The sequence below is a fragment of the Homo sapiens genome, chromosome 17 (assembly GCF_000001405.40).
Source record: "Homo sapiens chromosome 17, GRCh38.p14 Primary Assembly".
In the NCBI taxonomy this organism is placed as follows: Eukaryota; Metazoa; Chordata; class Mammalia; order Primates; family Hominidae; genus Homo; species Homo sapiens.
In genome coordinates, this window is record NC_000017.11 from 49,700,586 (window position 1) to 49,712,790 (window position 12,205).

At 48.0% G+C, this 12,205-nt stretch overlaps 2 protein-coding genes across 10 annotated transcripts in view, besides 3 other annotated features; both read right to left on the reverse strand.

Annotated features, from left to right (window-relative positions):
* Window positions 1-357: 357 nt before the first annotated feature.
* Window positions 358-7,612, reverse strand: SLC35B1 (solute carrier family 35 member B1). Of its 5 annotated transcripts, XM_006721632.4 has the most exons (10): window positions 7,145-7,379; window positions 6,758-6,859; window positions 6,380-6,483; window positions 5,619-5,749; window positions 5,281-5,311; window positions 4,539-4,696; window positions 3,515-3,641; window positions 2,603-2,709; window positions 2,273-2,426; window positions 358-925 (listed from the first exon to the last, which is right to left on the reverse strand). In XM_006721632.4, exons 1-10 carry the CDS (start codon window positions 7,357-7,359, stop codon window positions 873-875), a joined length of 1,182 nt encoding a protein of 393 aa, XP_006721695.1. In that variant the 5' UTR covers window positions 7,360-7,379; the 3' UTR covers window positions 358-872. The 5 variants fall into 5 exon arrangements, with proteins under 5 accessions (XP_006721695.1, XP_011522482.1, NP_001265713.1 ...); XM_011524180.3 differs by lacking the exons at window positions 6,758-6,859; window positions 7,145-7,379 and adding an exon at window positions 7,491-7,612 and having other exon boundaries at window positions 5,619-5,724; NM_001278784.2 differs by lacking the exon at window positions 6,758-6,859 and having other exon boundaries at window positions 5,619-5,724.
* Window positions 6,682-7,315: an enhancer, noted in NCBI's record as "H3K27ac hESC enhancer chr17:47784629-47785262 (GRCh37/hg19 assembly coordinates)". NCBI's record gives its function as "activates a minimal SCP1, AML or CMV promoter by ChIP-STARR-seq in primed H9 embryonic stem cells {active_cell/tissue: H9 hESC(primed)}" and the evidence as "EXISTENCE:reporter gene assay evidence [ECO:0000049][PMID:30033119]".
* Window positions 7,316-7,949: an enhancer, noted in NCBI's record as "H3K27ac hESC enhancer chr17:47785263-47785896 (GRCh37/hg19 assembly coordinates)". NCBI's record gives its function as "activates a minimal SCP1, AML or CMV promoter by ChIP-STARR-seq in primed H9 embryonic stem cells {active_cell/tissue: H9 hESC(primed)}" and the evidence as "EXISTENCE:reporter gene assay evidence [ECO:0000049][PMID:30033119]".
* Window positions 7,444-7,583: an enhancer, noted in NCBI's record as "active region_12369". NCBI's record gives its function as "activates an Ori minimal core promoter by ATAC-STARR-seq in GM12878 lymphoblastoid cells {active_cell/tissue: GM12878}" and the evidence as "EXISTENCE:reporter gene assay evidence [ECO:0000049][PMID:35858748]".
* FAM117A (family with sequence similarity 117 member A) overlaps window positions 9,747-12,205 on the reverse strand; it is a 78,779-nt gene continuing 76,320 nt past the window's right edge. For all 5 annotated transcript variants that reach the window (XM_047436858.1, NM_030802.4, NM_001411126.1 and 2 more), the window contains exon 8: window positions 9,747-10,970. In XM_047436858.1, the coding sequence (XP_047292814.1) occupies window positions 10,670-10,970 (301 nt within the window). In that variant the 3' untranslated portion in view covers window positions 9,747-10,669. The remainder of the gene's footprint in view (window positions 10,971-12,205) is intronic.

The window sequence follows — 12,205 nt, forward strand, 5'->3', positions numbered from 1 at the left end:
ACTGAGAACAGACAGACAGATGGAGGGGGAATATCAGGAAAAGTACATCACAGACCTTCCAAAGCTGATCATGATGTATGCACTGGGTCTCCACTCTGGTCTTGATAGAGCTGTGGCTGAAGGGGAGGCAGTGGGGAAATGGCAAAACAGTAGATTCTGAAACTCTGGGTTCGTTTTACCCCAGCCTCAATGAATATTTCTTTTCTGTTTTTGATTTTTAGTGGAGACAAGGTCTAACTATGTTGTCTAGGCTGGTCTCAAACTCCTGAACTCAAGTGATCCTGCTGCCTTAGCCTCCCAGAGTGCTGGGATTACAGGTGTGAGCCACTGCACCAGGCCTAAGAAAAAGACAGAACACAACTTTGTTTTTTTAATGAAATATTTGCCCACAGGAGCTTTAGGAGAGGAAGTGACTTTTACATTCTCTGGCTCTAATGGACAGCCACCCGTCCTCTAATGGGACCAGCTCTAACGGGACAAGCCTCACCCATCGGAACAGAAGCCATTAGCACAATTCTGCGATCTCACAGAGTTCCTCCCTATAATCCTCAGGTTCTTGGAGGAATCGCCCACTCAACCATGCTAACCACACCCGTGAGAGGAGCAGCCTGGGTAATGAACATCCAGCTCTGCCTCTTCCCTCCCTCTTTTATTTACCATAGACTGCTCCAGGGCATGAAGAACAAAAACCACCACTCTGTCTTGTTAAAATCCAAGTGCATTTTTTAGAATATGTGATTTTGCTTGATTTTATTTTATTAAAAAAGACTGGAACTCAGTCCCATATTCCTATTAAGTCCATTTTCCCAAGAGATGTCACTGTTTGAGATAATAACTTAAATATTCTTGATGTGGAGGTAGTCTCTCTCTTCCTAGTGGGATGTCTTCTTAGCTCCTTTCCCAAACTTGGCATCAAGACCAAGACCTATGAAAAGGAAGAAAATGGGCTTAGCCTTATGGGGGGAAATGAAACTTACCAATGATTGTGGTGGGGTGGGGTAGTCGGCCTTGTATCTCCAAAATGGGGGCTTTAAATAAAATACATGTCAGAACACTGGTTTTATGTAACTTCCTCAGAGACAAGAGAATGGCACCAGGATACTAGTTATTACAGATATCTGTATCTATATAAATATATCTATATAGAGATACAGATAGATATAGATACATATATAATACAGCAAGACTAAAAGAAATTTAAGAGTCAAAACTTCTAGGCTATGGCTGAATGTGGTGACTCACACCTGCAATCCCAGCATTTTGGGAGACTGAGGCAGGAGGATCATTTGAGCCCAGGAGTTTAAGGCCAGCCTAGGCAACACAGCAAGACCCCATCGCTACAAAAAAAAAAAAAAAAATTGGTCAGGTATTGTGGTACATGCCTATAATCGCAACTACTCGGGAGGCTGTGGTGGGTGGATCACTTGAGTCCAGGAGATCAAGGTTGCAGTGGACTATGATCATGCCACTACACTCCAGCCTGAGCAACAGAGGGAGACCCTAGGAAGGCTGGATTAGAAATAAAGCTTCCTTTTCTCCTTTTATTTTCTTTGGATACAGATTTTCACTCTGTCACCCAGGTGGGAGTGCAGTGGTGTGATCACAGCTCACCTCAGCCTCCACCTCCTGGGCTCAAACGATCCTCCCACCTCAGCCCCGAGTAGCTGGGACCACAGGCGTCTGCCACCATGCTCAGCTAATTTTTGTATTTTTTTGCAGAGACAAGGGTCTCATCATGTTGCCCAGGCTGGTCTCGAACTCCTAAACTCAAGCGATACTCCTGCCTCAGCCTCCCAAAGTGTTAGAATTACAGGCGTGAGCCACCACACTCAGCCTCTTTTCTCTTTTAAAAAAGTTTTCTCTGGGCTGAGCGCGGTGGCTCATGCCTGTAATCCCAGCACTCTGGGAGGCTGAGGCGGGGGGAATCACCTGAGGTTGGGAGTTCGAGACCAGCCTGACCAACACGGAGAAACCCCATCTCTACTAAAAATACAAAATCATCCGGGCATGGTGGTGCATGCCTGTAATCCTAGCTACTCCGGATGCTGAGGCAGGAGAATTGCTTGAACCCAGGAGGAGGAGGAGGCTCACCCGATTGGTGAGCTGAGATCGTACCACTGCACTCACTCCAGCCTGGGCAACAAGAGCGAAACTCCGTCTCAAAAAAAAGAGAAAAGTTTTCTCTAAAATATTTAAACAAATTTCATAAATATACAAGTAAATTTTAGGAGAAAAAATTCAGCTGTCACTGTGTCTCTGTGTGGCCACTTACCCAGGAACACAAGCACAGTGCCCACCCACTGCATGGGGCTGATGGGATTGGCGAAGAGGATCACAGAGGCCAAAATTGTGAAGAACTTTCGAGTTGTAGTGATGATGGAGCAGGTCAGGGGACCAAAATACACAACCGTCATAAAGATGAAGCTCTAGAGAAAGATAAAGGTGAGGTCCGGTGGGCTTCTGGGTATCTGCCATTGGTCTAAAGTCTATAAACAGACCTCAGGGCTAATCTTGCCACCCTCTTCTTCCAGCCAGGCCAGTCTTTCTTAGGGAACCAGCTGCCAGAGTAGGGAAGCCAAGCCATCCCCTTTCAAGCACTCACCTGACCCAGGGCACTGGTCAGCCCAAAGAGCAGGATGTTATAGATGATGGCAGGGTACCTTTCAGCAAAGCTCAAGAACTCCCAGAGCTCCCCAGTGAACAGGATTCCTGAGAAGACATGTCAACAAATGTACGGCGCATTTTGTGCACACAAAATGTGCGCACACACACACACACACACACACACACAGACACTCCTGCACATGGCCTGTTAAAGAACTGCAAGGGAGGTGGGACGCGGGAAAGTGTATGGTGTGGGTTTGCATCGTCTCATCATTGATTCTTCTCATATTTTTCTCTGATTAGAGAAACTAAAGAGAATTTTGTGAGAAAGGCTTGAAAGTTAATGAGTTACTTCTACCAAAGTGATTACAAGCAGAAATCCTCAGATGCTGTAGAGATGCTGACCCACACATCCTTAGCTCAAGGAAGCCCCTCGCATTAGTCACCTTCAGCCATCAGCAGCCTCCACCATTAACCCCAGTGTGCTGTATAAAAAATACTTTCTACATGTGCCCAAATTTGAAAAGTTAGGAAGCACTGATTTCAAAGCAAATCATTCACATTTGAACTGTCTTCAGTGTACAGCTAACTCTGTTTCCTGTGAGCACTACGTGTGTCTCATTTCCCTCATGAAAGGGAAAGTTCCCAGGTACCTCCCTGTGTTTTACTACTGAGTGTCTTCCCATGACAACTGACACACGACTCTCCTTCATTGTGCCAGTAACAAGTAGCAAACAAATCCTGCTGGTGCAGGTTTTTCCAGGAAGGTTTCTCAAGGGCTTGAACAAAAGGGCATCTTGGAACTAATTCAGGCCCTTGGTCTGGGCAACTAACAGCTAGAGGGATCAAAAGGATGAGGGCAGCCTGCCCTCTGGTGATACATGGGAAGAACAGCAGAACTGGCTCTCACCCATTCCCAGCAGCAATGTCGACCAAAGGTTGATGTTCAGCATCATGTGGTTGGAGCCTGTTTGGTAATGAGCCCGCATGTGGTCCTGGGAAACACCAGTCAGTCCATCCAGGGTCAGCGATAATAGCTGGGAAAGAAAGGGTGCAGCCTGCAGTGAAGTGGCCAACAGGGCCCTTTCCAAACCCAGGACACAGGATTCTCACTCTCAGGCTCCTTGGAAAGCCACTGCCTTTAAAGTCCTCAGAACAAAACGTTGCCATTTGGTCACAGGTGGAAGGTGGGGAGAGACCATGCTCACTACCCCCCACCCCCGCCCCCCGGCCCACGCACTGGACTGACAGGCTAACTGAGCTACGTAGTGATTTTGTAATCAGAGTAGAGCAGGAAGCTCACTTCCCAACATACTGGGAGGGGAAAGGTAGTCCCAGCAGGTTAGCTTCCTAGCTTGGAGTATAGTGCTCCAGAGACCGGATCCTGTGCTTAGGCTGCCTGGATTGGAATCCTGACTCTACCACTTCAAATAGCCAAGTGACCATGGGCAAGCGAGTTAACTTCTCTGTGCCTAGTTTCTTCATCTGTAAAATGGAGATAATACTACATATGAGATTATTGTTGTAAAAATTAGTCAATTAACATGTAAAACACTCGGAACAGTGCCTAATGCATACATACCAGCTACTATCATATTATTTTAAACTCTGGCTTCCAGGTTTCTTGGAAAGCCACAGTGAGAGACATTATTCCTTCCCTCTTTGCTCTCAGGTCTCTGTGACCTCACACCAGGATTCAGCCACAACCCTCAGAGTTATCTCTTCTCCAGAATGAGAGCTGAGTTGTAGTTAAATATTTCAGGTTTCCCACTATGGCATTAATAGAGTCAGGGGCCTGCAGCAAAGAGCAGATATGGGGACAAGGAGCACCACAACCTCCCTTGACACAGAACTGGCCTTCTACCTGCCTAGGTGAGACTATCCTTTGGTTAAGTTTGCTGGAAAAGGGTGCCTTCCCCAACAGGATCTCATACCAAGAGTAGCTCTCCATAGCCGACTGTGTGTTCTTCTATCCCAACAACTTTCTTGGGTTTGTACATGAAAAGGGCCACTCCAGCCACAATTAACAGCACACACAGGTACTTGGCCAACGGGTACTTCTTCTTCAAGAGGGTCACCCCAAGGAGCATGACTACAGGGAAAAAACAGAGTGGAAAATTCAGGCATCCATAAGGTATTGATGACCCCAATGCCCTCCCTCCCAGGAACCAAGAAAAGACTCAGGGAGAAAAGAATGACTGAGAAGGAAGGCTTAGAGAGGACAAAAGGAGGGTGCCAGGCTGGCACCTAGATAAGGATTGAGCAACAGGGTTAAGTATAAGACAGGGAGGAGGTAGAGAACAAAGGTGAAAAGTCCAGGAAGGGACAGGACAAGGGTAGGGAACAGTGGAGAAGGAAAAGAAGTTGAGATAAAGAAACTGATGATCAAAATGGGAATTAAGTTGTCTAATGACAATATAAACACATGCAACACAGAAATGGCTGACCAAGTGAAGCAGGCTAGGTCAGCCTTTAGCTCCTATTAAGGATTACCAGCCTATGAACATCACAAGAAGTGACACAGATGACAGGATGGGCAGCAGGGAGAGCTGGGGGAAAGTCCCTGGAGACAGCCATGATGGGATGATGAAGCCGAGAGGGACACAGTTGTAGCAGAGAGAGAGCTTACTATAGGAAGAGTGACGACAGAAGAGGAAGACCATCTTCTTTGCTTACCTGGGATTGGCTTGCAGGATTTACCAAGGACCTGAAATTAAATCCAGCAAATAATTTCTGAGCATCTGTGATGTGTCAGGTACTATGCTAGGTACCGCACTGATTAAGATGAGTAAGCACAGGGCCTGCACCAGAGACCTCAGCCTCAGAAAGCAGCCCTATCATGGCCCAACCCACCACCACTAAACGTAAGTTCTATGGTTCTATACACTCCCAATGTCTTACAGGACCGTTATCTTTTTTTTTTTTTTTTTTTTAACTCACAGACCTGAGGGAAGAACTCTTAGTCCTTTTCAAATGATATCTGAGCCAACCATCATCCCACCCTGAGGTTTCACCTGAGTTGGGTAGTTGACAAACTGTAGTGCTGAATTGCTGGAGACCATGGCACCCAGATAGGAGATAGAACAGGCAGCATAGAGCCAGCTCCGGGTACGATCCACCCTGGCAGTGTCAAAAAACTGGATCACTGGGAGAAGACAAAAAAAAAAAAAAAAAAAGAAAAGAAAAGAAAAAAAAAAAAAAACAAGAGAAACCTGGTGGGGCTAGGATGGACCACTAAGCAAAGCTGAAGCCACATGAAAGGAACTTGTCTGTCAAACAAGACACAAGCTATTTCTGTCCTGTTACACTGGGAAATCTCTGAAAATTATTCATCTTTCCAATTCTACCTAAGCCCAACAAAAGACCACATGCAGGGTGGAGGTGGGGGCCTCATTCAGTTCAAGGGACCAGTCAGCTCTGCTGCTAGTCCCCAGGGAACAAAGAGAGAATGCTCAAAGCATGCTTGAAGCTGACACACAAAAGAAACTCAAAGGGAAAGAAAAAAATGTTTTAAGTATTTTCAATGGGGATTTGGAATATAGAAGACCCATTCTCTGAACATTTCTAACTCAGAAGCTGATAAAAATTGGGGAAATAATATTTTACTCCACTTCAAAGTCATTAGTTTTACAGACTTCACAGAGAGGCTGTGTAAGTACAAAATGGGGTGGAGATCATGAGTTAGCCTTTAAGGTTGAATCAATGCTTAATGCCCAGCATACTGAGGGAACTTGGGGTGGTGGGGTACCCAACAAATTACTATCTGGGTACTCACAGATCTTGGCAAACACAGCATTGATCACACATTGAATGAAGACCAAAGTTAAGGCAAAGGTGAACGTCTCCTGCTTGGCTCCTTCCCCATACTTTCCTCTTGTTCTAGAAATGAAATGCATGAGAAAAGAGGGAGAAATTAGTGTATTTCACTCACTGTCATCTAATATATCCCGAGCCACTGAAAACTTTAAAATTATCTTGCCTCTCTGGATGTAGGCAGAGTTTGTTAAGGACCACTAGGCTCATTTGCAAAAGGGGCTGATTTTACTGGATCTAGAAACTAGACATCCCAGCCTACTGATTCCAAAGCCTAAGAAAAGAATACCCGAAAAAGACGGAGAGGAAACATGCAGAACGAGATAGTGAAATCAGGTACCCCAGGCAGGAGGAGACGGTATTTCGGCTATGGCACCAAGGCCGAGGACGAATAGGTTGTTTGCAAGCATCTGGGAGTACCAAAAGGGGGCCGACTCGGGTCCTGTTTGAGGAATAGAAGTCTCAGCCTGTAAAACGCAGGCCCTTAGAACCAAGCGGGGAAAAACAGCTAAGAAAAGAAAATAACCAAGTCCGAAGAATCCAGAAAATAATCCTGGAGTTCTGGAATTCTGGGTAGGCTCAGCCATAGCTGCAAAAGTAGTAGGGTGCTAAGAGGGCGACAGCCGGGCAGGAGGACAAGAGGAAAGCCCGGGTCCAGAGGCAGAAGGCCCGGGATCCCTGTCACAGGCTGGGGAGAGACTGTCGGCCCGCCCCCGGGGTCGCTCACATCTTTTCCTGCAGGATCCCATAGTAAAAATAGCAGACAAAGACACCCAGGAAGCAGAGCGGCAGGCGCAGCCGGTCGGGCACCAGGGAGCTGCTAGAGGCCATGAGACGCCCAGAGGAGCCGACTGGAGACCCGCTCACAACCGGCACCGGCAGCAGCGGCGGCGGAGGCGACAGCTCCAGCCGGACATCGCCGACCGGCGGCAGGGGCCTCATAGGAGCTGCATGCGACCGCTGTCCAGCAGGGCCCAGCAGTCACTACCAGAACTGCCGGCTCATGGCTGCCAAGGGGGAAACTCCTCAGAACCCAGCAACCACTTCCTAGGAAAGAAAACCCGCCCTGGGACCTTGGCTCCATCCCTGAGGGCCAGGGGAACCGGCAGCCTCGAGACTGATCCCTCGCCCTGGAGATTTTTCCAATCAGGCAACTCTGAGGACAACTGCGACCCAGAGCACCACAGGGTGTCCTAGAGCCACCTGGGCGTAGAATAATGACGTATAAGGATGTGGAGGCCACCAATTGGCTGCGCTGTGCGAAGACGGACAGGTAGGCGGGGCGGGAGGAGGTGTGGTCGGCAGAGCAAATCCAATAGTCTTTTCCGCGGCGGGCGGCCAGGCTTCTGCTGGGTCCTAATGCCAAATTCCTTACTGGAGCTTCAGCGCCGTCTAGCTGCTGCCCAGCGTCAGCGACTTTACCTGCTCATTACCTAGGCACATCACTAGGCTTCCAAGGGGGAGAGCGGCACAGTAAGTCTCGGCTTGGTCACTTAAAGGCGGGGTAACCTACCCGTGTCACCCAAGTTCTGAGCCAGAGTTTTCCAGGTCTGGAAACTAGGGATAATTAGTAATAGCCACCTTGTCGCCTCTTGGCTGTTGTGAGGATCAAATAAGAGTGTTTTGTAAACTGTAAAGTATGCTGTGCAAGCTTAAGGTATTATTAGTCATCACTGTTTGTCAGCCCTGATCTTATTTCCTCACATCGAGGGGTGGAAATGGAAGCTTACTGAAGTCAGTTTTCTTCCAAGTCTTAACAACTCACCAACAATGGCGCAAACCCTTCGGCCGCGCTCCTGAATATTTCCCATTAATGAGCTCCTCGTTGGATCCCTTCCTCATGCAAGTGTTGGGTCTTCACTTGCTGGCACGAATTGCCAGGGCAAGACTGACCTCAGGTCTTCCTACTACTACCTCCAACCCCCTACTTAATTGGCCCAAATCTCCGGCCACCTGGTGGACTCTGGGCTGCTCTCTAGGTCGAGGCTCCTCTTCTAGCAGCCTGCTCTTTTGGCACAGCCTCAGGCAAAGGAAGGAAATACTGGGCAGCACCACACCCATCGCTCCGGGCCTGACTCAATAAGGCTTTGCGGGGGAGCCAGAAGTCTTTTAGAGGGAGGAGTAAGGGATAGAAGATAGGGTGTCCCCAGCCCACTGTCTCCTCGATATTAGTGGCATGGGAAAGCCCCATACATTTGCTCTCTTGCTCACTAGCTTACTCTACTGGCTCAGCCCGCGATGCCAGGGCACCAAATAGCTGGGAAGAGAGACCTGCCAGCTCTACTTCTTTACCAGCTGGGACCTCAAACAATTCGCTTGTCCTGAGTCGAGTTTCCTCACGTGAAATTAATGGGAATATAATAACAAGCAGGAGAGCGCTGTGGTTAGAAACATGGGCACTGGATTCAAATGATCAGGTTTCCAATCCTAGCTCTCCCACTTCATATCTGTGTCTTTTGGGGAAAGTTATTCGATCTATTTGTCCTTTCCTGATTATACAGTGGGACTTACCATATTTCTCTTACTGGGTGGTTGTCATATTTCAATAACACTTTATGTAAAGCACTTAACATGGTAGCTGGTTCTTACCAGCCCAATGAATGGTGGTTGGGATAGCCTGGTTTAGGAGTTTGTTGTCAGGTCTTATGAGGCAGATACAATTGTACTTATTATGACTGCCCTTGGGGTAGTCAACTGTTCACCCATACAATGGGGATGTGTCTTTTGTGAAAATGCTTCGGAAATTCCAAAGCATCATTGAAATATTGAGATGGTTATTCCCATTTTCCCCAAAAGCCTAAGAGCTCTTACAGGTGCAGCATTATAAAGGCTGCGAAAGGATAAGAGTAGTGTCTTTGTATAGTTTCTTTGTTCCCTTTAAGGCTGCACACTATGTTGTGGGTACTCCCTGAGATGAACCAAAGCTTCCCCAAAACTGTCAAGAGATCCAACCAGTGCAAAGAACACCCACAATGTCAAACTGTCTTCCCTTGGTCACCTGCTTTTCCTTTCTGAAATCCATTCTCCTTAGGGAGCTTTTTCAGACTCATACAAGAATGGGTAACTTCCCCAGTGACTCCCTCACCCCACCTCTAGGACAAACCACCCTCTTCATTCTGGACAGCCTTTTCATGGGTCTGTTGTTTATATGTCCATGTAAAGTATGCAAGCATGGTGTCCAGAGGACAGGAACTCTGTGTACAGCCATAACAACACCCAGATGTGGGAATTGAGGCTCCTTCTCTTGAAGACAAAGATGAAATGATCAGTATATACCCTTAATCTCTACCCCACTCCTCCTTCCCCAAATATTTAACAGAACTTCAAGCTGCTGGGAATATTTATTTATTTATTTGGTCTATTAACACCAAGATCTGCAAAAAACAACCTCTAAACACAAGATAAGAAAACTCGAACATTAACATTCTTCAATTTTGTGTAAGCTCTGCAGTACGGAAAATATACAAACTTCAAACAGCTGCAAAAATAGTGTCTTTGGGAGAAAATAGAGTCTCTACATCGATACAAGAAAAATAGGCATTTTTCTAATCCATCCAGCCCTGGGGCGGGCGGAGAGTATAGAGTCGCCATTTGCCACCTGGAGGAATGCCAGCTCTCCTCCCCACTACCCACCTGGGGCTGGGCGGGCTGGGCTGCTACTTAAGACAATCTTTAGTCAGGGTGAAAGCGAGATGAAAATGCCACTTGGGAAAACACTTGTTTCCTCCCTCTGCCAGCAGCTGAATTGGTCAAGTGTTATGGCCCGTTAGGGCTGCTTTGGTCAGCTCCTCCAATGAGAGGGAGGCATGGGAATAGGGCTGAGAGGATGGGGGATCTATCTTATGGTCTCCTGGAGGAGAGGGAAGGAAATCTGTGGCGTCTTCTCTCCTTCGTTCATGGCCAGCTTGCTCTGTGACAAAAATAAGGGCCTCCTATACAGTCATTTGGACTGACACCCAGGGGTGGGGGACTCAAGACCTTCTGGGTGTTTTCCACCAAGTGAGGGATGTGGCAGGTACACAGGTGTGAATTGTGAGCTGCCCAGCTACTAGTGGAGAAGGCAGGTCCCATCACGTTCAGAGGGGCCGGTGCCCATCAAAAAGAGGACCCAGGGCTTTGACACAGTAAGTGAAAGAAAGTGCTCGAAGGCCGAGAGGGAAGGGCCCCTCCATACCCCATCTCAGGGGACCTGGGGAGGGACCTGCCACCAAGGCACTGGTCTCTATGGTAAAGTGGGGCAGGGGTGGGACCCTCAGACCATCAGGGAGCTCTGGAAAAGCACAGGCTCTTCTGATGGTGGGGTGCGCTGCCATGGCTCGAATGGCAGTGGGGAGGCCTTGGAGGCTTCCGGATCCTTCCGAGGTGGTGGCCTGGGGCTGGCCGGGGGAAGGGGAGATCCCGGGTTTGAGGGGCAGTTACGGAAGATGAAGCCCATGCCGGGGAAGAGGGGCTTCATCAGGTTGACGGGGCAGAAGGCTGAGCCAGTCGGGTTGAAATGGACTTTGTTCTTGTCAGGACAGGAAGTCAGGAAGGCCAGGTCAGGACCTGGAGACCTGGAGGATGAAGAGAGACACACAAGACACATACGTACACACAGAGAGAAACAGACAGCGAGAGAGGGTGAGATGTCACAGCATCAAGGCAGCAGGAGAGCTGGGTCTCTGTTCAAACAGAATTGGAACTTGACCGAAAACCAAGCCCCTCATCTCTCTATTTTTAAAAAAATATGGCTAAACAACGGGAAATGCTCTTCAGCTAAAAAAAGGAGGGATTGAAGCTAGACAGGAAGGAGAACTTCCTGACAATGTGATTCAAGAAGTGGAGACCAAGAAATCTTTTCATTCGAAAGATTTCATCAGTGGCCGGGCACGGTGGCTCACGCCTATAATCCCAGCACTTTGGAAGGCCAAGGTGGATGGATCACTTGAGGTCAGGAGTTCGAGACCAGCCTGGCCGACATGGTGAAACCCTGTCTCCAGTAAAAATACAAAAAATTAGCCGGGTGTGGCAGCATGCTCCTGTAATCCTAGCTATTCAGAAGGCTGAGGCAGGAGAATCACTTGAACCTGGGAGGCGGAGGTTGCAGTAAGCCAAGATCGTGCCATTGCACTCCAGCCTGGGCAACAGAGCAAGACTCCATCTCAAAAAGAAAAGAAAAGAAATATTTCCTTAGTGAATGGTGTTTTTGGGGACAGACCACATGCCTGAAAGCAGAGATCAAAGCCAAGTGACTAAAGTGGGGTTTCTCAGCCTTGGCACCACTGACATTTTGGGCTGGATGATTCTTTGTTGCGGGGTGGGGATGGAGGCATTGTCCTGTGCATTGTAAGATGCTTAACAGTGTCCCTGGCCTCTACTTACTAGACCCCAGTAGTACCACGACTCCTCCCCTCTAGTTGTGACAACTAAAAATGTCTCTTGATATTGCCAAATGTTCCCTAGTTGAAATCTACTGGCCTAAAGAATCTAATTGTTGGGCACATTTGAAAGGTATGGGGTTGTTTATTGTTGTTGTTTTGTTTTTGAGACAGAGTCTCACTCTGTGGCCCAGGCTGGAGTGCGGTGTGGCAGGATCATGGCTTACTGCAGCCTCGACCTCCCCGGTCCAAGCAATCCTCCCACCTCATCCTCCTGAGTAGCTGGGACTACAGGCATGAACCACCATGCCCAGCTAATTGCTTTACTTTTATTTTGTAGAGAAGGGGTCTCTGTATGCTACCCAGGCTGGCCTCCAGAAAGGTGTGATTTTCAAAACTTTGAGAGGAAAGGATGGTAACAACTGTGAGAA